The sequence below is a fragment of the Homo sapiens genome, chromosome 13 (assembly GCF_000001405.40).
Source record: "Homo sapiens chromosome 13, GRCh38.p14 Primary Assembly".
Taxonomy (NCBI): Eukaryota; Metazoa; Chordata; class Mammalia; order Primates; family Hominidae; genus Homo; species Homo sapiens.
This window is the reverse complement of record NC_000013.11, coordinates 40,966,841-40,994,240: the sequence shown is the minus strand read 5'-3', so window position 1 is coordinate 40,994,240 and position 27,400 is coordinate 40,966,841. Positions and strand designations below refer to the sequence as shown.

The 27,400-nt window shown below is 36.3% G+C and overlaps 1 protein-coding gene and 1 pseudogene across 13 annotated transcripts in view, besides 7 other annotated features; both read left to right on the top strand.

The window, feature by feature from the left end:
- ELF1 (E74 like ETS transcription factor 1) overlaps window positions 1-27,400 on the top strand; it is a 129,468-nt gene that overhangs the window by 67,146 nt on the left and 34,922 nt on the right. For 12 of the 13 annotated variants that reach the window (NM_001370330.1, NM_001370329.1, XM_047430118.1 and 9 more), the window contains one exon: window positions 11,959-12,258. In NM_001370330.1, the coding sequence (NP_001357259.1) occupies window positions 12,187-12,258 (72 nt within the window). In that variant the 5' untranslated portion in view covers window positions 11,959-12,186. Of the gene's footprint in view, window positions 1-11,341; window positions 11,384-11,958; window positions 12,259-27,400 lie in introns of those variants that run through there. The other variant, NM_001370331.1, reaches the window with a different exon arrangement.
- Window positions 268-808: an enhancer, noted in NCBI's record as "H3K27ac-H3K4me1 hESC enhancer chr13:41567569-41568109 (GRCh37/hg19 assembly coordinates)". NCBI's record gives its function as "activates a minimal SCP1, AML or CMV promoter by ChIP-STARR-seq in naive H9 embryonic stem cells {active_cell/tissue: H9 hESC(naive)}" and the evidence as "EXISTENCE:reporter gene assay evidence [ECO:0000049][PMID:30033119]".
- On the top strand, window positions 763-1,618 carry RGS17P1 (regulator of G protein signaling 17 pseudogene 1; annotated as a pseudogene).
- Window positions 809-1,350: an enhancer, noted in NCBI's record as "H3K27ac-H3K4me1 hESC enhancer chr13:41567027-41567568 (GRCh37/hg19 assembly coordinates)". NCBI's record gives its function as "activates a minimal SCP1, AML or CMV promoter by ChIP-STARR-seq in naive H9 embryonic stem cells {active_cell/tissue: H9 hESC(naive)}" and the evidence as "EXISTENCE:reporter gene assay evidence [ECO:0000049][PMID:30033119]".
- Window positions 955-1,034: an enhancer, noted in NCBI's record as "active region_7622". NCBI's record gives its function as "activates an Ori minimal core promoter by ATAC-STARR-seq in GM12878 lymphoblastoid cells {active_cell/tissue: GM12878}" and the evidence as "EXISTENCE:reporter gene assay evidence [ECO:0000049][PMID:35858748]".
- Window positions 9,080-9,359: an enhancer, noted in NCBI's record as "active region_7621". NCBI's record gives its function as "activates an Ori minimal core promoter by ATAC-STARR-seq in GM12878 lymphoblastoid cells {active_cell/tissue: GM12878}" and the evidence as "EXISTENCE:reporter gene assay evidence [ECO:0000049][PMID:35858748]".
- Window positions 9,779-9,848: an enhancer, noted in NCBI's record as "active region_7620". NCBI's record gives its function as "activates an Ori minimal core promoter by ATAC-STARR-seq in GM12878 lymphoblastoid cells {active_cell/tissue: GM12878}" and the evidence as "EXISTENCE:reporter gene assay evidence [ECO:0000049][PMID:35858748]".
- Window positions 15,925-16,116: a silencer, noted in NCBI's record as "fragment chr13:41552261-41552452 (GRCh37/hg19 assembly coordinates)". NCBI's record gives its function as "represses an EF-1alpha promoter that drives an FKBP-Casp9 reporter gene in an ReSE screen in K562 erythroleukemia cells {active_cell/tissue: K562}" and the evidence as "EXISTENCE:reporter gene assay evidence [ECO:0000049][PMID:32094911]".
- Window positions 19,116-19,265: an enhancer, noted in NCBI's record as "active region_7619". NCBI's record gives its function as "activates an Ori minimal core promoter by ATAC-STARR-seq in GM12878 lymphoblastoid cells {active_cell/tissue: GM12878}" and the evidence as "EXISTENCE:reporter gene assay evidence [ECO:0000049][PMID:35858748]".

Below are 27,400 nucleotides of genomic sequence, written 5' to 3'. Positions count from 1 at the left end.
GGTGCTATAAATGCTACCCTGGTATCAGTGTATTCTGATACCAGGTTAGTCCAAGTGGCCAATGATGGGAAGTGAAGAACTATGTGAAAGAACTGGAATTTCAGGTTTGGGTAGTGAGTAATTGTGGCCCTGCCTTCAGAGTCCTGGAACTTTTCACCTGGTTGTCAGCAAAAAGGCAAACACATAGAAAAGTCAGTCTGTTTAGTTTGATCATATTGATTTTTTTTTTTTATTATTAGCATGGTTGAAGCTAAGGTGACCTTGATCAAGTTGCCAAAACCTGTTTCAGGTTTGCTTAAGTCACCAGAAGTTTGATTGAGACATCCTATACAAAAAAAAAATCGATTTGTGCTTTATTTACATAAAAATAAAACTATACTTTTGATAACGTCCTGGGCACTTCCCTCTGCTTACTCCCCCTCAATTAAAAAATGCCTAATTTAAATTAAAGAACCCGGCCAGGTGCAGTGTTTCATGCCTATAATCCCAGCACTTTGGGAGGCCTAGACGGGAGGATTGCTTGAGCTCAGAAGTTTGAGATCAGCCTCAACAAGATGATGAGACCCCTTCTCTACAAAAGAAATTATAAAAAATTAGTCAGGTGTGGTAGTACACACCTATAGCCCCAGCTACTCAGGAGGCTGAAGCGGGAGGATCACTTGAGGCCAGGAGTTTGAGGCCATAGTGAGCAAGGATCATGCCACTGCCCTCCAGCCTGGGCAACAACGAGACCCTGTCTCTAAAAAATAAATAAAAACTAGTTCCTCGCCCGCTGGGTGCTTAAGTTGGGCGGATAGTAGCAAACGGGCTCCGCTAGAGGACAGAGCCGCCCAGCCCCGCTCCCCCCAGACCCATCGGTGCACTGCCCACACCTGCAGGCAACTGGCTAATTGGGTCTTGTAGCTGAAATGTGAAAAAGGCAGCAGTCCCAAAATGAAGGAACACCTGCTGTGTCTCAAGCGCCTGGAAACCAGAGGCCCAACAACATCTGTTGCTTTTGTTGGTGCTGTTGTTGCAGCTGCTCCTGCCTCACTGTTAGGAATGAAGAAAGGGGAAAATGCAGGAAGAACCACACACACTACAAAAATGGAGAGTATCCAGGTCCTAGAGGAATGCCAAAACCCCACTGCAGAGGAAGTCTTGCCCTGGTCTCAAAATTTTGACAAGATGATGAAGGCCCCAGCAGGAAGAAACCTTTTCAGAGAGTTCCTCTGAACAGAATACAACAAAGAGAACCTACTTTTCTGGATTGCCTGTGAAGACTTAAAGAAAGAACAGAACAAAAAAGTAATCAAAGAAAAGAGAAAAGGCTAGAATGATATATGAAGATTACATTTCTGTACTATCACCAAAAGAGGTCAGTCTTGATTCTCGAGCTAGAGAATTCTTGAGTTAGAGAGGTGATCAACAGAAATTTGTTGGCTCCTAATCCTCACATGTATAGTTCTCTCCAGCCCCAAGTAACATCTTTTCAGATGAATTCCAGGGGATGTTCAAGACTTTGACTCTAATGAAAACACTACAAAAGGAAAATGTTGCCCTAACTGATAGAAGGTCCCAGTTTGGGAATTGATTTTATTCCTATGATAAAAGCTCTAAGATGAGTAGGGAAAAGGAACACTATCAAGCATTGATGACAATAACCAAATGTAATATTTTTAAATATGTCATATGTGCAATGTGAAATTCATTCTTCCTTCATTATTTCTCATATTAAATCTCATTTCAGAAATTTTAGAATTTTAAAACTGTTGACTTATACCTAACTGCTATCACTGCATAACAGCTTTTAAACAGTTAGAAATAAACATTTTAGAATAATAAACAGATTGTGTTTCTATCCTAAGCTTGGATACATTTCCTTTCTAAAGATCTAGCTCTTATTGCTGTATTAAAAGAATGCCACATACAATGCTTACTAATGGAAATGTGTGTTCACAGATGCACTTAGGGAGCGTAGTGTAAAAACATCAGGAACTTAAAATTACAAATTTGATTTCAAGTTACATTTCTGTCTCATGCGACTTTGGGCAAATCGTTTATCTTCTCTGAGTTCATTTTCTCATCTGCAAATGACAAATAAAATAATTATCAGGATGGCTATGAGCATTAAATAAACGTGGAAAGAATAAAATGTGACATTATTTTATCAGAGTTCTTCAACACAATAATTGTTATTTTATGCTTGTATTAAATGTCATTTTAATGCACTTTCCCCTATTTTTTTCCAAAACATACAATAAACATCTGATTTAGCTATTCATCAGAACATACAATCATATTTTAAGATGGAACACTATATCAATGTTATTGCTTTGCTCAATAATGTGATCCCAAATCACTACTTGCAGTTCACCATCACCTCAAATCTATAGAAATGTTTCTTTCAATGACATACATAGATAGATAGATATACAATTGTAGGTTAAAATTAAAGTTTAAATAAGAGAAGTCATTTGAAAATTTTATTTCCAAAGGAAATAAAACAACATTCCCAAGGACAGAAATAATATCAAGTTATTTGCTAAATATATAAATGAGTTATAGGCCTAAGACTAAGATATAAGAGATTGACAATTAGAAAACACTTTTCAATATTAAGGTAGTATGATTTTCTTTAACAATTTTACAATGAAAATAAAAACTTAATAAAAGGTGGTAACGGGCCAGGCATGGTGGCTCACACCTGTAACCCCAGCACTTTGGGAGACTAAGGCGAGAGAATCACTTGAGCCCAGGAGTTCCAGATCTGTCTTTGCAACAAAGTGAGACCCTGACTCTAAGAAAAAATAAAAATGTTTACAATAAAAGTAAAATTTAAAATAGTAATGTGTCCATGAAAACTTTAATTTTAGAGTAGTTTTATATTTACAGAAAAACTGTAAATAGAAAGGTCCCTTACAGACCTATGGGACATCTGTCAAAATTAATAAACCAGTATTGGTCATTAAGTTCATACTTTATTCAGATTTCCTTAGTTTTTAACCTGATGTCCCTTTCCTGTCCCAGGATCCCACCACATTACATTTAGTTGTCATGTTTCCTTAGGCTTCTCTTAGTTGTGACAGTTCTGAAAGCTTCCTTGTTTTTGATGACAGTTTTGAGAAATAAACTGGTATTTCGTGGAATGTCCCTCTGTGGAGATTTGTCTGATGTTTTCCTCATGACTAGACATGGGTTTTTGGTTTTTGGAAGAACACAAAGGTAAAGTGCCATGCTTATCACATGATATCAAAGGTATATGCCATCATCAGGACTCTTCTTAGTTGTGACAGTCTCTCAAACTTTAGGCTTCTCTTAGCTGTTGATGTTAACCTTGATCACTTAGCTGAGTTAGCATCTATTATGTTTCTCCACTGTAAAGTAACACATTTTTTTTTTTTTTTTTTTGAGACAGAGTCTCGCTCTGTCACCAGGCTGGAGTGCAGTGGTGCGATCTCAGCTCACTGCACCCTCCGTCTCCCGGGTTCAAGCAATTCTGCCCCAGCCTCCCGAGTAGCTGGGACTACAGGCACACACCACCAAGCCCGGCTAATTTTTGTATTTTTAGTAGAGACGGGATTTCACTATGTTGCCCAGGCTGGTCTTGAACTCCTGAGCTCAGGCATTCCACCTACCTCAGCCTCCAAAGTGCTGGGATTACAGGTGTGAGCCACTGCACCTGGCCAAAGTAATATATTTTTAAAGAGATTATATTGAAGGTAAAATTTCTGGACATTTACACTGAGCTAAACAAATTCTGAGCAGATTCTTCAACCCTGATATTAGGTTCCATTAAGTGATTACTAATACATGCTATAAAGAAAATACAGTAAAGTAGAAAAATAAAAGTCCAAAAGTCTTATCCTGAATATTCACCTAATAGAGGCGAAAGTGAATTTTTCCCTTGAACTATCTGGGTAAATAATTACAATAATCCTCCATATACTTTCAATATTAAATATCTTAGTCTTACTCATTGTCATAAGAGGTAACTTAAACTGGTAGTTTTGCTTAGTGCATTTCTATATTGCCCTCCACTAGTCAATGAACACTGAATATTGAAATAATGTAAAAGACCTGATGTATTTCCTACCAGCTTTAACCAATTTGTCATAAATATGTTTCTTGTGTATGATTTTTGAATGTTTGCTAAATAATGTGTTTGGTTTTGTAAAATTATGTATCGAATGTGTATAAATTTTTACTACCATGTTCATCATACTTAATCTATAACCATATATTGTACTCCACCAATGTTTATTAGTGGACAATAAAGAAGTTTTAAATGCATGAATACAACTTAAGAGACACCACACTTGGTTATTTTGCAATGCCAGAATAACAGTGGATACTCAATAAATTGAATAGTTAATCCAGATTATGTTTCCTCCAATTTAAGCTTTTCTGGTTTTTTAAATTCCCCCTTCCTAGAATCAGTTTTATCATTTTACCTATGTACAATAATATATTTCTGGAAAATGCTAGAATTTTCACCATGTAGTAGAATTTGAGCACGACAATAATGTAAAAAAATTCAGAAGTCTCAAACTAGGTAGCTTTCTTTGAGTTTTCAAAGTAAATCAAGATAGAGCTGTTTTCATTTTACTATATTGTGGAAATCTATGGATGTTAGTGTAAAATGCATGTGCATTACACTGACTTAAAATGTTTTGAATTAATAAAGAATTCAACAATAAAAAAATTAATTAAAAAATAAAAGAATGCTTAATTTTAAGTAGCTATCTTGCATACCTACCTAAAATATATTCATAGTAAATACATGGTACCTGTTTAGATTGCAAAAACATAGTTTTAAACTTTCTCTCAACTTTCTTAAATTCGTTGAATATTTGAAAAAATTTAAATGAACAGTTGGGGTATAGAAACATTTTCTTTTTCAATTATGAGAACACTGAGTGCAATGAAATGATTTGTTTGCCTTGTGACATTAACTTGTGTTTTTTCCCTTCAACTTTGTGTGTAGAGTACCTGGTTTAGAGAAAGCAGGAGCTGAGAAAGTATGACTATTCTTTTTTGGGAAAGTTCAAATCTGGTTTCTTAACTATACCTACATTTTGGGATGTTTCTTTATTGTTTTTTCCATATTCGCATATTTTAATGTAAATTCTAGCAATAATACTGTATTTAAAATAGCTAGAAAGGCTAGGCGTAGTGGCTCATGCCTGTAATCCCAGCACTTTGGGAGGCTCAGGTGGGCAGATCACTTGAGCTCAGGAGTTCGAGGCCACCTTGGGCAACATAGTGAGACACTGTCTCTACTGAAATTACAAAAATCAGTCAGACGTGGTGGTGCACACCTGTAGTCCCAGCTACTTGGGAGGCTGAGGCATGAGAATCACTTGAACCCAGGCGGAGGTTGCAGTGAGCTGAGATCGTGCCACTGCACTCCAGCCTAAGCGATAGAGCAAGACTCTGTCTCAAAAAGAAAAAAAAGAACTAGAGAGAAAAATATCAGTACAAATCTATTTTGAAGTATTTTAATGAGTTACTAAATTGTGGTAGCCTTCTAAAAAGGCTTATACATGTTTCCTTTTTACTTTTTAGGCTGAGTGAAAATGTAAGGCAAGATGATATGATATAGTAAACTTGGGAGATAATAATAGTAAAACTCTAAGACTTAAAGTAGTAAATAGGGAAATCTACAAACCCTCTGCACCAGTTGTTTCAGTTAAAAATATGGTTGAAAATGATTTATCCCAAATATCAAGAGATTGCATAATATATAAAAGCATTTTAATTGACAGTTGTACTGGGGTATGGTAAGGTACTTTTGCTAGGTATTTGTCTAGGGGATTTCTTATTTTTCCAGATATTCTGCTAAGGAAAAAATATTAATGAAGTTCTGTTAATATAGATATAAAGGTACCAGTAGGAAATCTGGGCTTTTCTTGCTTTCTTTGCCACTAACTGGCTGTGTGTCCTTGGACACATCAGAATGCTCTAGGCCTAAATTCTTTTTTCTTTTCAGTGAATATGTTGTCCTAGGTAATCCTTAGATCTTTTTCAGCTCTAATATCCTGTGATTTCACACTTTTAGATTGAGAATGGGCAAACTTTGGAAGACTGTGTGCAGTTTATCTTCATACCACTGACTTCATTTCTGCTGGGAGCTAATATAGAGCCTTCTACCATGTTATAATAGAAAACAGATTTTTTAAAAGACCAAACTATGGTCAATCACACAGGAATTCAGTCATTACAGATTATGGGTTTATTGCTTGCTTCTCATTTCTACTTGGTATAACTTCACTTCTTTTCTCTCACTTTCTTACTCTGTTTTCTTTCATTTCTGTTATATTTTTTCAATGGTTTTTCCGAATATTGCATTTCTTACCATGACTATCTGTATATACTGAAAAGAGCCCTTTTATTAGGTTACCACATCTTGTGAAAGTTCTTTCTGTTCAGTTACTTGGTGTCTAGAGTTACTGTAGCATTCCAGTTTTTTAGATACTGCCAACCTACAAACATGCCATATGTACATAAACAGACACAGTCTGAATTACATACTTCATTAGAGAAGTCATTCAACCACGTCATTGCTTTAAGCTGGTATATTTCACCTTCTTTATCCCAGAATTGTCTGATCTAAAACCTTTTTGTTTGATTGATTCTCTTTATTAATTTTCTTTCTTTTTTTTTTTTTTTTTTTTGAGACAGAGTCTTGCTCTGTTGCCCAGGCTAGAGTATAGTGGCGTGCCTCGGCTTACCACAGCTTCTGCCTCCTGGGTTCAAGCAATTCTCCTGCCTCAGTCTCCCAAGTAGCTGGGATTACAGGCACTCACCACCATGCCCAGCTAATTTTTTTTTTGTGTTTTTGGTAGGGACGGGGTTTCACCATGTTGGTCAGGCTGGTCTCGAACTCCTGACCTCAGGTAATCTACCCGCCTCGGCCTCCCAAAGTGCTGGGATACAGGCGTGAGCCACGGCACCGGACTATTTATTAATTTTCACCATAAACAGTTGGTACCATAGTAACTTAAAAGGAGAGCAGTGATTTTCGGCCGGGTGCTGTGGCTCACGCCTGTAATCCCAGCATTTTGGGAGGCCGAGGCGGGTGGATCACAAGGTCAGGAGATCGAGACCATCCTGGCTAACACGGTGAAAGCCCGTCTCTACTAAAAAATACAAAAAATTAGCCGGGCGTGGTGGCGGGCGCCTGTAGTCCCAGCTACTCAGGAGGCTGAGGCAGGAGAATGGCGTGAACCCGGGAGGCGGAGCTTGCAATGAGCCGAGATGGCGCCACTGCACTCCAGCCTGGGCGACAGTGAGACTCCCACTCAAAAAAAAAAAAAAAAAAGAGCAATGATTTTCTAAAAATATATTTATGAATTCGTGGGTTTAATATCCTTGTGTCTAAAAACCTTTCTGAAGGAATCTTAAATTTACATTCAATCAGTGATCAATTTTGACTATCATATTTTTTTTAGTACCTGAAATCTTCTATAATAAATTAAACAAGTAGCCATTTGAAGTGGTTGTAGTAGCTAGTAGTGTGGCTGAGGGTTTTGTGTTTACCATCAGTGAAGTCATTTTGTTTGGAATGAGGCATAATGGGACTCTGTGTTAGGGAAGCTTGCCAGAGTGAAGTCCTCGCCTTGAAGCAGCAGGATTTGTTAAAAAGACGCCAAACCTTGAAGCACTGGAATAGAATTACAGTTTTGTTGACAATGGGCTATAATGTTCTTTTTCTGGAGTCTAGCAAATAGCTATGGTAATAGAGACTTCCAGGGAGTACAGAAATGACCCTTAAGGAATTATTAGTTACCTAGCATGCACCTGTTACATATTTCTTGCATATACTTACAGCGCTAAAGAAGCTAATGTTAATTCAGTGCATGTTATGTGCCAAGTATTCTGCACATGCATTTTTGCATCTACACAACAGCTCTAGGTTTTGGTATTACTTTACCCGTTTTACAGAAGGAAGAGACTTGAGACTGACACCTATTTTATGGAAAGAGGGGACTGAGACACCAAGCAAGTAACTTGTCCAGTCTTCTGTCACACTGCAGAAGATTGGCACCCAATCGGTCTGACTCCAGAGCCTGTTCTCTGAACTGCTTTGTGTTACTATTTTACTTTAACTCCAAAGCTTATTTTGGGGATGACAGGTTAGGAACCTTGTTGCTAAGTATTCCTGTGGCATGTCTCCTTGGAGAATAAGAATATGGTCCTCACCCAATTAAGAGACATCTGAGCCAGCCTAAGATTTTTTTATTATCTGGTAGATGTCTGCCTGGATGCCCTCTGAAAACTGTGCAAATAAGTTGACCGCTTATGTCTGTGTGATGAAGAAGTAGTTTCACTTATGTTTTTCCTTGTTACTTTATAAAGACTGACACTTTGAAAAAAACATGTTTGAGAACTATTAATACAGCAGAGTGCTTCCTGACTATAATAGATAATTAAGGATGGGTAAATTTAAACAAGTTTTAAATTTACTGAGGACCTTTCAATTTGTTAGGTTAGAACAGAAGCCTTTTTTCTAATCCGAGTGCCCATATTTTTTTTCCATCTAAGACCGTATTTGAGGAATTAGATGATGCATTTAGTTTTGGACATGTTTTTTACACACTGACTTCAAGGGGCACTGATGTAGACTTGTCTTATAGTTTAGTGACTGGATTTGGAGCTCAGAAGCTGAACCTAGAGATGGAGATTTTAAAAATTTTTTACATATGCGTTTACTTAATCTGTGTTATAAACTGTTATAGCAGAAAGGACTTTGGTGGATTTTAGAGGCCCAGCTGTATATTACAGTTTTAGAGAGAGTCCTGATTTAGGAAACAAGAATTCTAGTTTTAGTTCTGTTTTGCTTGTAGACCGTGAGAACTTGACCACCCCAATTTACTAATTAAAAATGGAATCATTGATTTAGATCTTCAGTCTTGTCTGTTACTGAAAAAATTGTAAGATACCTGGGCTTTGTAATCAAAGATTATAAGAATCTTTGATATCTACAGGTGCTCCCTCTGGATCAGGTATCAGAAAATGTATTCTCAAGAATCACCTTGATGCAGAAGAGTATATAAGTACACAGGGGAGAGGAAGAGGAGCAGGAAAGATGACAGAGAATCAAAGACATGATTGAGCCAGTAAAATGCTTTTCTTTGCTTACACATTTTCAGTTTGTGGACTTCTCTATAGAAATAAGCAAAAGCTACATGCCAGAGCAAAAGTGTCTTTTTCTGCTGCAATAAGTGGCTTAGTGATTGTGGGGAGCCATTTCAGTTTTGATTTATTACTGTTAGTTGTTAGTATGTATAAGGTGTGGGTATGTTGGTTGCTTATCCTGATTTTTTAGATTTCTGAAAGACAACTGTTAAAGCACAGTAGCAGTGTGGAAGTGCTGGTACGAAAAGGTACATGACAGCAGTGGAAAAGAAAGTGAAACTTAAATTTACCTAGACGTATTCACACTGGCCATTGGCACAATGTCATTTTGCATTTATGAACAAATGGGTTTTGAAATAGCCTTCTGGAACCTAATCTTTTACAGAGAAACTTCTGTATCAGCAAACATCCCTTGATTCTGGTTATGTTTTCTTACTCTCGTTTTTCAAGCTTGTGATAATAGTTTCCTCTTTATCAGAAGTATATCAGTTATTCTTTTTTAAATAAAGGATATTTGTAGAAATAGCTTAAATATCTAATGATATTTATTTATTGAACACAGAGTCTCATTCTGTAATGCAAGCTGGAGTACAGTGGCAATCATGGCTCACTACGGCCTTGAACTCCTGGGCTCAAGTGATCCTCCTGCCTCAGCCTCCTGAGTAGCTAGGATCACAAATGCACACACACCAACACAGCCAACTAATTTTTTATTTTTTGTAAAGACGAGGTCTTGCTATGTTGCCCCGGTTGGTCTTGAATGTGTAGTCTCAAGTGACTCCTTCCCCACCAGCCTGCTAAAATGCTGGTGTTACAGGTGTAAGCCACCATGCCTGGCCTGATAAGATATTTAAAACAGTATTTGTCATCAATATAATCCTTTTTGTCATCACTGTGGGCACACAGGTTTGGGAGGTACAGAAGAAATTTTAGACAATGGTTATTTCCCCAGAAGAGGTTTTGCTTCAGTTGTCTTGGTGCCTGGCACATTGCCTTGCAAATAATTGGTACTCAAACATGTATTCAGTTGAATTAAGGGGACACAGTTTTCAAATGTAAGACAATGTACTACAATTCATGCTAAATTGGTTGTACGGGCAGTAATTGCTGTGTTTTTGAAGGGAGCAGTCCTTGTAGTTTGAGGCATAGATGTTGGGAGGCTTTGTGAAATAAATGGGGCTTGAGCATTGAATGGAAAAGATGGGATTGAATGCTGGCAAGTAGAAGATGGGTGTGTTGCAGGCATAGGAAATAACAGAAGTTGAGAAAAGAGGCAAGACTGAATAGTTTGTGTGGAGGAACATAAGGCAGGTCTACTACAGAGGAATTGGGTTGGATAATAATTTAAGGAAAAAGGTATTATAAATAATAATAAGTACAAGGCCAAATGTATCTATCTGTGATCAATTTAAATCAAAACACTTTTTTTTTCCCTCTTCTAGATATGGTACATTGCTCAAAAACCACCTGAATGTGCTAAAAATACTTTCCCAGTGTTGGAGTTAAACTTCCTGTTAAAAGGGAGTGGATGAGAGTGGGAAATTTGCTGGGTTGGAATTTAGTGTAGTGAGTAGAAATATCATCTGAATTGGATTCTTAATTCTTATTTTATTTTGAGTTCTTGCTAGGAAAATCACAGTCATCCATGATGACCCCTAAAGCCCAGGACACATAGGGACTTGGCTTTACAGAAATTAGGAAACCGATTAAGTGATTTGGCTGACACATACTAGCTGGATTTACGTTTTCAGGGAAACTGATTCACTAGATCAGCTTCATCCCCAGACTTGTCTCTTTAAAATTATTAGGAAATTACTGGCCATCCTTTCCTTGGAGTCAACTTCTTTTTTAAAGTGTTTGTAATAAAACTGTAAATGCTAATTCAAAGAACTAATGTTATTTAATGTGATTATTTTTGTATCTTTCTTTTCAGGCCATAATCATTTGATGAAAATGTAGTAAGATTGTGATAAACACCTAAAGAATTTTTTCCTTTTGTTAGTATTGATAACTTTTTTTTTAAATAGGCAAACATCTTTGGCAGACATTTTAAAAGCCTTTGTCCCTTCGCTGTGAAATTGTTTTCACTACTAAGTTGCGTTTCTGTTTTTCTACTATTGTAAAGTGCAGTTCTTTGCATGTTCTAATTTGCCATGACGTGGTCAAGTGCTGTTTCCTTCCTGTTGCTTGCAAGCCTATACTAGAGATAAGGATACATTTCAGTGCATTAAAAAAGAAGCCACTGAAGACAGGCTTAAGCATGGTAATTTTTAAAACATTTTACTTATCAGAAGCCTTTTTAAAGAACAGAAAGAGTGGGCTTTAATTTCTGCTTATTTTTAAAAGATTTAAAAATACTTCTTACTAAACTTTAAATGTATTTGATTTTAAATCCTTATATAAATCCTCTTAAAGGTGAAAATATATACGTTGTGAAATTACTCATTGGGTAGCAGTTTCTATGTATGTGCTTTGCTGAGTTGGTGAAAAGAAGGAAATTGTTTATATATCCTTTATTGCGATTACAACCCTCATTATTGCTGGGGTTTTTTGACCTTTTTTTTTTTTTTAATATTGAGTACTTTTAACAGTAGTTTAACTGGAGAGTGGGGGAGAGAGGCATAATTTTCAGTAGTGACAGATGATCTTAGCAGGAGCAAACTGTTCAAATAAAATATGTAACTTTTAAAAAAGAGCGTATGTGCATTAGTCGTGTCGATTTTATTTAAAAACGTTAATAATAAAAAAATGCTTTAGCGATACTGCCCTCTGTATCAGTTATTATATCCTAAGTGGGTGATTGCTTTTTCATAACTAATCTGAGCTTTTGTTTTTTAGGCCAAGAAGCTTGAGAGAAGAAAAATTTCAGAAAAATTGTCTCAATTTGACTAGAATATCAATGAACCAGGAAAACTGAAGCACCTTCCCTAAAGAAAACTTGGGTATACAATTACTCCACAGACAGAGCTGAGGGTTTTTTACCCAAATCAGTCACTGGATTTTGCTGCCTGATACGTGAATCTTCTTGGAATTTTTCTCATGTGGATCTAAGGGGAATGCTTTATTATGGCTGCTGTTGTCCAACAGAACGACCTAGTATTTGAATTTGCTAGTAACGTCATGGAGGATGAACGACAGGTATGAGATTCAGAGAAAATTTCATTTTAATGACTTTATTATGATTTTTCTATTCATATCAGAAAATTATTTCCTTTAAAAGACAATGAGAGAAACTTTATTGAAAGTAAAAATTTATAGATGAAATATTTGGAGGAAATATTATACTATGTTTTAAGCACCAGTTAATTCATGAAGAATAAGTCTTATCCTTAGCTTTGATATGGTAACAAGGAAGTAATACCTTTGGGATTCAGCTTGTTTTTTTGTAAAATGAGACTTAACACTAAATGCCTTAAGTAATTATTTTTAAGTACTTTGAAAAGTTCTAGAGAATATACTGCCTTTTAATGTATGTGGTTAATTAATGTTTGTAATCATGGGCTACTTCTTCAAGTAGATGAGACAACGTTAGCGGTCCCATAATCATACATCATTTCAGTCCAAAGCATGTGACTCTGAGGAAGTTACTTAACTTCTCTAGATCTAGATTTCATCATCTGCAGAATGAGGGGATTGAACTGAAGAATTTCTAAATCGGCTTTCAGTGAATTTATATAAGATGTGCAAATTACTGTTTTCAGTACATAAAAAAGATCTAGGAGATACTGAGTAAAGGATCTAAGATTAATTTTAGTCTCCTTCCCCCCTCCCCACAACACACACACACACAAAAGAACTGGAACGAGGCTAGAGTTTCTTGGGACTTTACAATTAACTTCATTTTAAACAAGTTATATAGGGAATGTAAGACATGATATGGGAGAAATAGTGTACGTGTTGGAGAGACTCAGACAGGGTACTAGGAAAAATATTTTGAGAACCAACCTAAAGTTGATTTATCACTGAAATAAGCCTAATGCTCAACACCTAATTTTAATAGGCCAATTATAATATGTAATGCCTTTATTCTGGAAACATAGTTACTACAAATAATAAAATTCTTACTTTTGGCAGAGTGAATTTAATGATTTTTATAAAATTAAAATTTTTTTAGCTGTGTTGTCCATTGAAGTGACAGAACAAAAAGTTTATAAATAAACCTACAAAAGGTGAGGATTTGGATTAAGTTGCCTTAACAGCAGGATGAGCTTTGACTAGGGAGGATAACAGGTTCAGGGAGAGAATTGCTTAGTCTTGATTAAAAATATATTAATAGTGATATGGATTTAATCTAGAGACAATACAAAATATATTTTAGGAAGAAAGGTGTTTTGAATTTGGTTTAAGACAGGATGTTTGTGTGTATATTAAGGTTTGAAACAGTGTGTTTACTATGCAGCCCTCTTAAATGAAAGATGCTGTATATAGATGCTAGGCTTGATGTGGTGAGGTTTGATCTCAGGATGTAGCAGCAGAGGACAAAGCCCTAAGCCACTCACTAATATGCTCTAGTTATAGTGGATTTGACACTCTTTGGAACATGAGAGAAGTGAATTTTACATTATGGTACCATATTCATACATGTGTCTACATAGCCTAAAAAGAGTTTTGCAAAACAACACTTATACACTTACTATGTATGATATACTTAGTTTGTTTTGCAGAGGTTATTTATGTTTTTGGAAAGGGAGATGGTACTGTTAGCTTAACATCAGCATGTACATATATGTATTTTCTTAAGTTATTTGTTTTTGTCTAACAAAATGAATCTATATTTTGTGCAGGTGTTATAAGGATTTTATAAGTATTAACCATGTAAGGTAAATACTGATCCCCATTTTATAATGAGGAAATTGAGATATCAAGAGGTTAAGTCACTTTCCTGGAATCATACAGCCAGTAAATAGTAGAGCCACAATTTGAACTCAGCCAGTTTGATTCTCACTAATGATGTTTTATATATTCTTGCAATAATGTGTGACAATCTTACTGTGTTATAATCAGCATCAAAATGTTTACAACTCTTGGTGAGTTTTGGCGTCTTCAGTCTGTGGCCATCAGCATAGCAAATGTAACTGCTTTGCAGGAGGGTAGATCCAGTGCTGTTGGTGATATTAGCATCTTACCTAACCTGGGGCTCTACCTCCCTGTTTGCTTATTAGGTTAATTTGTTTTTAATGGAAAAGCAATAACGTGCCATTTGTATTAATAAAAGAAGTCACCTAATAAAAAGATACATAAAATAACTAGTGAAAAATCTCTCTTCACCCTTAGTCCTAATCTTGTTTTCCTTCCCAGAAGAAACTAGTATTAAGTATTAATATTTTGTGTGTAATTTTTTTAGAAAAATGTCTGAACAAATGAACATACATATATACAAAACTGCATACAGAGGTTGCTTTTAAGACACAAATGAAGTTATGCTAAATCTTTTTTGTGTCTCATTTGTTTCCACTTTATTATAAATATTTGTGTGTATGTTGATTCTACATCATTTATATTTTACATCATGAGCAGCCCATTATTTATTTTACAGTTCCTGACATGGCTGTTACCAGCATTTTGCTATGATGTACAATATTGCAGTGAACATCCTTGTTTGGAAGGCAGTAGATCTACCTAGTAGTAGCGGTGGTTAAGAGCTCAGGTACTGAAGTTGAAATGCCTGGGTTGAATCTTGGCTCCGCTGCTTATTATCTCTGTGACTTTGGGCAAGTTACTCAACCTTTCTGTTCCTTGGTTTCCTCATCTGCAAAATGGGGATGAAAATAATAGAACCTAAGTTATAGGATTGCTGTGAGAATTAAATGAGTTGATGTTTCTAAAGCTTTTAGAACTATGTCTGGCTCATAGCTAATATTTACGGAGCACTATAATTTTGTCATTATGTGTGTGTGTGTGTAGTGTATCTTTGTACACTTATGTGATTATATCTGTAGGGTTATTAAAAACAGAATTACTGAGCTTACTAAAAATATAAATACAAATATTCTTTTAAAAGGCTGTGTTACGTGGACATAAAGATGGACAAGTCTGTGTTACGTGGACATAAAGAGGGACTACTAGATGGGGGAAGGAAGGAAGCAGGCAAGGGTTGAAAAACTAACTATTGGGTGCTGTGCCCACTGCCTGGGTGATAGGATCAATCATACCTCAAATCTCAGCCTCACCTATGTAACAAGCAATATACTCATGTAACAAACCTGCACATGTACCCCCTGAATCTAAAATAAAAGTTGCGGGGGGTAAGAGGAGCTGTATTAATTTCTACTACTACTAATAGTGTATTTCCCAAACCATTATCAACAGAAGTCCTTTTTTTTTTTTTGGCCAGTCTTTAGGGTGGAAATGACATTTTACTATTTTAATTTGTATTTCCTTGACTACTAGTGGTGAAGTGGTTTATTTGTAAATTTTATTTATTTTCAATTAGAGTTTTCTTTGATTTACTTATTAATATATCCTTTTGCCCAGTGGGAATTTTTTAAGTATTATGGTCACTACATTAGAATCATTGACATTTTCTCCCAGTCTAGTGTTGTCTTTTAACAATGTGATATCTTGTGCGCTATAGAAATTTTAAATGTTTTTAATAAAATATGTCAATATTACAAATTAATAATATTAGTTTTGGGGGCTTTTCTTGCCTTCTGCTTAGGAAAGCTTTATTCTCTTCACTCCTGTCACTCCTAAAATTAGTATATACTCTCTTTACATTTTCTTTTCTTTTTTGTTTTTTTTTTGAGACTGAGTCTTGCCTCGTCACCCAGGCTGGAGTGCCGTGGTGTGATCTTGACTCACTGCAACCTCCACCTCCCAGGTTCAAGCAATTCTTCTGCCTCAGCTTCCCAAGTAGCTGGGACTACAGACACGCACCACCACGCCCAGCTAATTTTTGTATTTTTAGTAAAGACAGGCTTTCACCATGTTGCCCAGGATGGTCTCCATCTCTTGACCTCGGGATCTGCCTGCCTCGGCCTCCCAAAGTGCTGGGATTTCAGGCATGAGCCACCGCCCCCGGCCTACATTTTCTTCTAGTATCTTTCATATGTTTGGCTCCTCAGTCCATCTGCAGTTTATTTTTGTATGATGTGAGGTATTCATGATTTGAAGATTCTTCCCCCACTCCCACAAATAGTGGTGTTAGCCCTTCACCATTTATTGAATGTTTTATGTTTTTCACACTTAAACTGCCACCTTTGTTAATACTAAATTACCATGTGTACAGGCTTCAGTTTTGAACTTCCTAGTGTATTCTCCTTCGTTGAACTGTTTTTATATTGTGCCAGTATCACATTGTTTTCATTAGAATCATTTTATAGATTTGATATCCGATAGGATATCCTCCTCCCCCCAAATTGGAATAGGATTTTGAATGAATTTTAGAGTTAGCTTGTTAAGCTACATGAAAACCCTGTTGGGATTTTTAACTTTTTAAAGTTAAAAAGTATTTATGACTTTTAAAATAATGTATTCTGTTTTGGCTGTTTATAAAATCACTGAAGGCACCAGATTAGAATATATTTTTTGTTTTCAGTTATGGTCTAGGTTATAAATATATATTAGTCTAAAGAAACTGACACTATTAATAGGGTTGCCAGCATTTTGATCATCTTCCCTTATTCAGTTCATATTTTCCAGAATTGCTTGGCACTCTTGAGTGGAGATGGCAGGGGTCATGGCGGGGGTGTTGGAAAGGAAATATCAATGCTGTTGATGCTGACAATTTAAAACTCTGTTGTTGCTGTCTGTTCTAAACTGGGAATATTTGTAGCTGAGAATGAAGCACTTCTATGGGAGAGCAACCCCATCAGTATTGAATGCAATATCCCTTTATGCAATGGTGCTTTGGTTTGATCTTAACAAGCGTGTTAGCATGGTGAATGTATGAGAAGAAGAAGCAAGCAGAAGTCTATGGATACAAGTTTCTAAAGAGAAGGAAACCTATTTACTTAAATGTTCCAGGAGTTAATTTAATGAAGAACAGCCGGCATAGTTTAATGCTTTTTATAATTTTGATATATTATATGAAAAAAACACTGTATTTTTTTTTCAGTCATTGGTTTTAAAAGTAGAATTTCTGGCAAATCATATTTGTGTTTAATAGACTTAAGTCACTAGAGAGAAGTTTGGTGACATGGAAAAAATGAACATGTGGAACAACAAATTTTTATAGAATCTCATCACAATATAAGAAGGTAGTCTTAGCACTTTCCTCTCTAGGGTGTAAATTGGCTTCCTCCGACTGCTAATTCCTGGAGGTTAAAGAGTAACAGTGCCGGGTGCAGTGGCTCATGCCTGTAATCCCAGCACTTTGGGAGGCCAAAGCGGGTGGTGTATATCACATGAGAGCAGGAGTTCGAGACCAGCCTGACCAACATGGAGAAACCCCATCTCTACTAAAAATACAAAATTAGCAGGCGTGATGGTGCATGCCTGTAATCCCAGCTATTCAGGAGGCTGAGGCAAGAGAATTGCTTGAACCCGGTAGGTGGAGGTTGCAGTGAGCTGAGATCGCACCATTGCACTCCAGCCTGGGCAACAAGAGTGAAACTCCGTCTAAAACAAAACAAAACAAAAAGAATAACAGTGCCTTGCTGTCTTTTATACAAGCTGCCCAGTGATTTTTTCATGCAGTGTTTGGGAAACACTATTCAATGTAACACAGATAAATGCAAAGTGCTGTGGATACTGAGAATGGAGCCATTGACTGCACTGCAACTTTGGGAATGCTTCACCATGGAAGTTGAACTGGATCTCAAAGGAGGATCTAGTTTATCTGACAGATGAAGAAGAGGAGGTGTTCTAGAGCAGTAGAGTGTACCAAAACTTTTAACAGATTCTCTTGACTTCATTATCAGTCCAAACATCTTAATTTATGGTTAGAAACTTTTCACAGTGTGCCTGTTTCACACTATGTAATTTTCCAGAATGCTTTCCTGCTTCCCCACTGTTTGCTCAGAAATGATCTCCAACATTCATACCTGTTGCATATTTAAGTCTAATAATCTTTCAAGATTTTAGAACAAAGCATACTTTTTCCAGGAACTCATCCTAAAATAATTCCTTCAAGAATTAACAACTTTATTCTGTTATTTCTATGTTGCTTATTATCAGTCTCACGTTTGCCATCTTAAATTTTCATATACACATTACTAATTTTTTCAAATGTGTTAAATTATTTGAAGTAAGACATTGTCTTTTTTCCCCTTAATATTACCAAAGCCTTTAATATCACTGAGTCCTCTTAAAGATTTTTTTTCTTTTTAAAATCTGTTGAATAAGTGATCTCTTCTATAAAATAGGTAAAACTTACCTGTTGCTAGATGATCTGGGATATATAAGTGTTCAGTTATGGTTCTTATCATATCAGAGCATCTCTGAATAATGAGAGGGTGATACCTTGCCCACAGCTGTCTTGACCACAGAATACATTTTCCCAGGACCTATTGTCCACATTCTCATTTGGTGCAGGGACAATGTAGCCATGTCACTACAGTTCTAAGACCAGAAACAGATGCTCATGGAATCTTTTTTCTGAAGTATTTGGAACTGATCTGTTGTACATTTAGTGGAAAACACTTCAAATAACTTTTAAAGATTGTCATTGAAATTGTAAATAAATAAAATGTGTTAAATGACAGTTGTTCACATTTATTAAATCTGGTTGTAGGCATGTGGATGCTTTTGTTTTTCCCTCTACTCTGTTGTATATTAAAATTGTTTTTCAAAAAAAAAATCAGAGAAACTAACATTCATATAGAACTTTCCTTTTTCCTTATATGCTATTTCCTGTATGTAAGAGGATAAGTCACACCAACCTGCCATTTTTCAACTGGAATGGCAAGATTCTGTTAGGTCAGAGATTAGGTGTACCTCATAAAGTAAGGTAGAAGGAATGAGTTGATAGTGTTTAATGTGTAACTTATTCAGCGCCAGTGATGAGAAGGGCAGGAAGCTGGAGTGTTGCTACTGATCTGTACGTGGACTTAGTGGATCCTCTGTTATTTACCTTAAAATTCCAGGTTCTATCTGCTTTGGTTGCCTTCTTTTTAAATCTTGTCATATCAAACTTAAGAAATCCATTAAAAGCTTGGCCATTTGTGAAACTAATATACAGAGGTTGCTTGTTTATTTTTGGTACACTTGGAAAAGTCTTTATCAAAGGAGTTATGTCTTAGAGTCCCCAGCTACAAGCCTGATTGCCTTCTGGGGGAGATCTGACTTTGCATAAAGGCTGAGGCCCTCTTCAGGTTAAGTGAAGGAACAACCCTGCCTGTGGTCTAACATTTGGCTTATCTCTTTGCCCATTCTTGGCAGCAAGGAGGCTGATAGTTGTTATGAAAGAGGAGTCAGTGTGGAGAGTAGGAACTTATTACTCTTTTTTGCAAAATCTTCCTTTAACTGCCCCCTAGCCATCCCACAGAGGCCCAGGGATAACGTCCTGAAAATGAATAAGATGAGATCATTGTATAGGGTAGAACATGGACTAGATGGGCTTCAGAAACTTTCAGTGGTGAATTTTAGTAGCTAGTGTTTAGTGAGCATCTTGCCCCATGCACTGTGCTTTATAGGGATTATCCTATTTAATTCTTACAACAATCCTAAGAAGTAGGTGCTCCTAATTCTCACTACAAAAGAGTCAAGTGAGGCTCAGCGAAGGGAAGCAACTTGCCTGTAATTTCATAGCTACTAAGTGATAAAGCTAGGAATTGTAACCCAGCCTGTGCCTTTAACCACTAATTGAATAATACTAGCCACTGCAACATGTAAGTGGTGAAAAGTAGTTTAAAATATGGAAGAATTATTATATCCTGCATTTATGATTTTGGCAAAAAAGTGTTACTAATTTTAGCTAATTAGTATAATTACAGGTAGATGGTTCTTATGCCTGGCATACCTGTATATGTACCTTTTAAAAAAAACAGCTTTATTGCAATGTAATTCACATACCATATAATCCATCTACTTAAAGTGTACAAATCAATGGTTTTAAGTTTATACAGAATTGTATGTCTGTCTCCATAATCAATTTTAGGACATGTTTATCACCCCAAAGGGAAATCTGTACCTGTTAGCAGTCATGACCTATTCTTCCCCACTCTTCCTAGCTCCTGGGAACTACTAATCTACTTTCTGTCTCTGTATGTTTGCCTATTCTGGACAATTCAGTTATAGTAAATGGAATCATAGAATATGTGCTGTCTTGCGACTGGCTTCTTTTACTTTGGCATCCTGTTATCAAGGTTCATCTGTGTTGTGCCATGTATCATTACTCCATTCTTTTTATTACTGAATAATATTGTATCATATGGATATACCACATTTTATTTATCCATTCTGTACACATTTTCAAAGAACACTTTTTAAAATGAGGTTTGTGTTGGTCAGTTTCTTGTCAGAAATAGAGTTGGCAACGTCTTCTCCCAGAAAATACTCAATCACCTAGAATAGCCTTCCTGGGTAAAAAAAAAAAAAGGAAATTAGCACCTCTGTTGCTTCTAAAAATAACTTAAAAAAATTTCCCCTAACATTTGACACCTTTGATGTGTCTTAGTTTTGCTATGTGATCTTGAAAATTTTTGTCTCCTTTCCATTTCAGTGAACACATAGCACATAAAAGATAGGCAGTTATATAAACAGTTAGTGTAACTGGCCTTTTTTAAAAAAGAGGGTCATTTTCAACATATTTAGAGAGTACTGATGAAAATAATTGTTTGTGTGTGTTTTAGAAATAGTAACCAAAATTCTCAATATTAGAGCAATTCTTCTTTTGGAAAATTGCCAAGGAATTGTTGTTAGAAATGCTACATTATAATATTTTGACTGGTAAAACATTTGTAAGCTGACCCATTTAACCTGTTCCCACTAAATGTGATGTTGAAAGTACTGAAGATACGAGACCAGGAAACTTATCAGCAGGATGATGCGAAGATTAAAGTTAGGAAAGAAGCTTCCCTCCTAAAAGGTGATCTTTTAGGTGACAGTTTAATGATTTATTATATTTTATGGTTTTACATGATTTCTGCATTTGCCCTATTCTACTTTATTTTGTGGCATATGCAAAATAAAAACAAGAACTTTTAGAACAAAATTCCATTGTTCTGTTGGAAAGGAGCTACTGGGAAGCCCAGCTATCTGTAATCTCCTCCCTCCCCTTTCCTACCTCAACACACACATTCGGAAATAATGTATTATTTAAAGACTTAGGTGGGAGATGATTTTTTAAACAGTGATTGATTAGTGTGTGTTCAGTCCACTGCCCACAACTTTGACATAACATTTAATCATGAAAACTGATGTTTGTCAATCAAGAGTCTGTGTGATATGGCATTAAAAAAACATCAATTTGGGAGCCTGGCTCTAGCTGTGTAACTTTAGACAAGTTTTTACATATCATTGAGCTTTATTTCTTTCACAAAAATAACAGAATTACCTCCCAAGGTTATGAGCATTAAATGCTTATGCAATGCATTTACCTATAGCATGGTACATGGAACAGTCCTCATATTAATGACCTGAGATAAATCAAGAAAAAGCTTTAATAGCTCTTGTCTTACACTGGATAATCTCTATTATCCAACTGGGTAAGTGAGGTGATGAAAGTGATTTTTGTGACTTGCATACCAGTTATACAAATTCATTCAGATCGTTTTGTTTTGTTCTGTTGTCACATTTTTCCTTTGATAATCCAGAATGGCTGTCTTGATTCTAGAATAAGCCAATAAACTTGTGACTCAGGATTTTAAAAATCTGGTGGACTTATGCCGTAAGGGAGCATTTTCCTTTAACATTTGTTTCGACATAGTTTGCCCTGGCGTTGTTCAGTTTTTTTGGAGTACCACTAATTTCTCCCATACCTATGAGCAGGTAGTATGAATTTTCCATTCTGGGAGAGACTCTATTGTAGCTAAACTGCCTGTATTCAAGGATGCCTTACCTCATTTTATTCTTTGCTGTGTACATATTGTATAAGATTCTTGTCAAAGTCCATCTTTTCATAGCAGAAATTGCCCTTTATGATTTTTTAAAATTCTTTGAGTTATATGGAATCTGCATGTTTAAAACACTTACCTGTCTGGTAGTGACTACTCTGATATTTATTAATCTACTTAGTTTGTAAGTAAAGTAAACATTTACATCTGGTTAAAATTTACTATACCCCCCCCCAAAAAAAAACTACCTGTTTGTTTACCTCATAACTGATTCTGTTTACATATACCCACACATACACAACCCACCAATACTATTAAGCTTTTAATGTGGACATTCCAATAAGAAAACAGATCATTCTCATTGACTCTTACTTTTTGAGATGTATGGCCAAATTGTAATTTATCCTGGCTACAAAAAGAAGAATCTAGGCAAAGACTAAAGAAAGCCAATTGTCATGACACAGTTACACTAGGATTAGACTTTGTTAAAAAATAACTCCACAAGGATTTGCAATGGAATTTCAAACATTATCTTGGGGAATTCTGGAGAAAAGACCATTTTACTTAGACCTTTATGTTTTTGATGGTGCTGTGCAAGAGAGAAGCCAGGATTTTTTCAGAAACACTCAAATACTGGCCAGACGCAGTGGCGCATGCCTGCAATCACAACACTCTGGGAAGCCAAGGCAGAAAGATCGCTTGAGCCCAGGAGTTTGAGACTAGCCTGGGCAACATAGGGAGACCCCGTTTCTATTAAAAAAATAGCTGGGTGTTGTGGTGCCTGCCTGTGGTCCCATCTACTCAGGAGGCTGAGTTGGGAAGATCACTTGAGCCTGGGAGGTGGGGGCTGCAGTGAGTTGTGATCTTGCCACTGCACTGTAGCCTGGGTGACAGAGTAAGACCCTGTCTCAAAAAAAAAGAAAAAGAAAACAAACTTGTTTCAGCTGTAGGTCTAATACAGTGATCATTTAGAAGATAACTATCAATCTATATATAATATACATTTTTTATCCAAGCGTTAATTGAAATGAGACTTTCATTATGACTTAGTAATAAATTCTAAGTAGTTTATCTATAGGATCCTGTACTGGTAGTGGTTAAACTTGTGGACTCTAGAGTCAGATTGCTTGGGTTCAGATTTCAGCTTTTTCTGGCTGGGTGACTAGTATGTGTCAATAATATATAGCCTAGTGTTGTGGGGATTGAGTGGATAAAGCCATATGACGTCCTTAACATAGTAGCTGCTTCCGTCATCACTACATTAGGGGTACCACTGTATTCTATTTTATAGTTTATTATATTGAAAGACTCCCAAAGACAGAGACTAGAGAACACTTTTTACACAGCGCTGTAGTGAGTTTTTTTAGTTGAAAGTACATTGACCAGACACTTGAATCCTTTTTTCCCCTTAATTAAACCACATGTTTATCTATGTGACATTTATAGCAGGTACATAATCCATAAAAATGAGGATATTAGAGAACAAACGCCATTGGGAAGTGTAAGGAGGCTAATAGAGACAAGTATGTTTTCTTGGCACGGAGGTTAACATCCAAACATACTTGGCACGAAGATTAACATCCAAAGCAGCATCTTTGCATGTTAACCTCCATGCCAAGAAAACATTACTTGCCTTAGTCTTGAATACAATGTAAAGATAACACTGCCTAACATCTTGTACAGCTCTTTGTAGTTTACAGTCTTTTCTGTATACACTTGGATTCTTACAAGTCACTGTATGATAGAGATCGTATTTTTCCCGTTTTCTATAGTATAATGTTATCTTGAATTTATTACTAAGTGACTAGGAGACCTGTATTAGAATCTTTCACCTGTGATAGATTTGTAGGGCAAGCTTACAAAGGCATCCAGAGTAATTACTGTTCAAAGTAACCTAGCTGAATTACTAAATAAGTCTAGATTCCAGTTCTGATTTAGTAACACTCTTTTAGAGTATCAACTAGAGGATAATTTGTCTTTTAGCTGTTCGTTAATTTCCTCATTAATCTTGACGACACTTGATTTGTTTGTTTATATTTTAAGGGATGATGGGATAATGCAGAACAGTATAAGGATTTGCTATATCATTTGAGCTAATGCATTGAAATATTTTAAGTTTTTGGAATGGTAATAATGTAGATTTTTTTTTCTTTGAAAATGTGCCAGTAACAATGAAAGAAACTGAGGAAATTGCCAGGGAACAATCCCCACATGCACAAAACCTGTAGGCCCAGATAGTTTCGTGAGTGAGTGATTTTCAACTTTACCAGCCCGGGCAACATAGTAAGACTCTATCTCTACAAAAAATTTAAAAATTAGCATGATGTGGCAGCCTGTACCTCTGATCTCAGCTGCTTGGGAAGCGGAAGTGGGAGGATCTCAAGCCTAGGAGGTAGAGGCTACAGTGAGCCATGATTGTGCCACTGCACTCTAGCCTGGAGTCTCACTGACAGAGACCCTGTCTTAAAAATTTAATGAACTAATTTAAACAGTTTCGGTTCAGAGAGAGTTTCCTAATTCAGTTTTACAAAACTGACATAACACTGATACCAAAACCTGGCAGAATTTGCATACACACATATAAACACTAGGCTAATCTAAAAATTTATGTGCTGTTTAATAATTAATGAACACTTATTGTCTCTTACCCTTGCCAGGCCCTGCACGTGATATGCATTTTATATTTTCATCTTTAAAAGCCTGTATGGTGTGACAACTCTTGTTATCCCCATTTTACAAGTAAGGAAAACATGTATAATGAGGAATCTCAAAGAGGTTGAAGGAATGCATGTTACCCAGAAACACACAACTGTAAAGTGCCACTTGTATTGAAATTGACTGACCTGAGAGAGCCCAAACTCTTAACCATTATGCTAGGGTATAAGAGAGAAAAAGAACCATAAAGGAAAAAGAGAATATGGAAGACTATTAAGTAAATTGTCTTTTATACTGATTATATCTAGGATTAGTGCGATTTTTTACTTTTTCCCAAATACATTTATGTATAACATTTTTAAGAACTAGACTCATGTACTACACCTGTAGTCAGTAAAACTATGATGTTCTTATAATTTAGACCAATGTGTTGAGCAGTGGGTACTACAACTACATAAACTTTTCTGCCTGGTTGCTAAAACTGCTTTTTATTTTATAATAAGGAATAGGTCCCTGGGCGCAATGGCTCATGTCTGTAATCCCAGCACTTTGGGAGGCTGAGGCAGATGGACTGCTTAAGCCCAGGAGTTTGAGACCAGCCTGGGCAACATGACAAAACCCCATCTCTACAAAAAACACAAAAATTAGCTGGGTGTGGTGGCACATGCCTGTTCTCCCAGCTATTCATGTCGCTGAGGTGGAAAGATTGCTTGAGCCCCAGAGGTCAAGGCTGCAATGAGCTGTGATTGTGCCACTGTACTACAGCCTGGGCAACGGAGCAAGACCCTGTCTAAAAAAAAAAAAAAAAAGAATATAGAAAGTGTTTACAGGGAGCTTGAGTTAATCAACAGAAATATTTGGAGCTGTTTTAGTGGCATATTTTTTTAAAGTATGTGGAGAATTTGGCTATGAAGAATTCTTCACAGAAAACTTTGTACTGGGCTTTGGAAATCTATTGTACAATCCTAGCTTGCTTTGTGTAATACATCAATTCCTGAAATCATTTAAAATACACTTTGGAATTTAGAAATAGTAGAAACCATTGAGGAGGGGCACTATATGGAAAGGAAGCAATGATGTTTCATACTCTTGGAATATAAATATGTTCTGTATTATTTATTCCCAAAGATAATTATTAAAAATGTGCCATGGGGATTTGTTGAAAGGATTTCAACTTTTCACTTTGTTCACCAGTCACCCTAATTTTTTGTGTGTGTTTATCCATGTAGATGTACTGTGTGTAGCGATTTCCTTTAATTTTATCATGGTTTATATGAGGTAATGAAGGAATACCATCATAGTATTTTGAAGATGTTTTGAAGTTTTGTTTCTCCCATCAGATGGACCTCTGCTTTTTAAACTTCTTATTGAAGTGTAGCATTAATATAAAAATGTATGTCGGTAATAAGCATGCAGTTTATGAATTTTCACAAAGTGAACACACATATGTATCAACATTTGCTTTTAGTTGAAGCTAAATGTTGTTGCTAAGTGTGGATGGTTAAGGTTTGTTCACCTATGTTTTGAAAAGACTATTCTCATTAAAAATAAAACAAAATCAAATCCCAACAAAGCTTAAAGGTTAAAGAAAGCAAAAGAAATAATAAATAAAGCAAAAAATAATTAATAAACAAAAAGGACAAGGCATGGTGGCTCACACCTATAATCCCAGCACTTTGGGAGGCCGAGGCAGGAGAGGATTGCTTGAGCCTAGGAGTTTGCGACCAGCCTGGGCAACATAGAGAGACCTCATCTCTACAAAAAAAAAAAAATTAGCCAGACATGGTGGCATACGCCTATAGTCCCAGCTACTTGGGAGACTGAGGCAGGAGGATTGCATGAGCCCAGGAGTTCACAGATGCAGTGAGCTGTGATCACGCCACTGCACTCCAGCGAGGCGACAGAGCAAGACCCTGTCTCAAAAAAATAAAAACAAAACCATGCCTGTCCATGTGAGATTGTAGTAAGTCAGTTTTTGAGAGTGTTTATTTCTATCCGTATCAAATATTGAAGGGCTTTAATCATCAAAACATTTTATTTATTGCTTACTATATGCCATGCATTATCACAAATGATTTATTTACACATTATTCTTACAACAATTCCAGAAGATACTATTATTCTTATTTTGAATAGATGTAGGAACTAAAGCTTAGAGAGGCTGGATAACTTGCATGAGTTCAAATACCCAGGCCATGGTGGAGTCCTACCTTAAATAAGAACCTGAGTTTTTACTGTTACACCCTGTTCACCATGTGTGTATGTAGTGCATTTGCTGCATGGTAAGGTACTGTCAGATCGTGTTGTAATAGAGTAAGGTGCTGGGTTTTTGTTTTTTAAATCAAATGTAAAAGGAAGTGATTTCAAGAATAATTCAGAAGTCCTCAAAGCAGTGTCTTCATAGGATAAGGCTTTGGGGCCTCAGTCTGATTTGAAGGCTGGGCACAGGGATTTGTCTCAAAGATGTGTTTTCATAGCAAGTGCAGTGTTTAATTTGTGTGCTTATTGGACAGGCTTTGGAGTCAGGGGAGCTGTTGAAGACTGTGGGAGGAGTAAGGCACCAGACCCCTCTTGGTGTTTTCTTGCCTTGATGCAAAGATGTTGCGTGAACTACTCGAAGGTGTGCTCATTTTGCACCTGTCTTTAAAAAGTAGTGTCTGCTTTGGAAAAATGCTAGAGACTAAATTTAA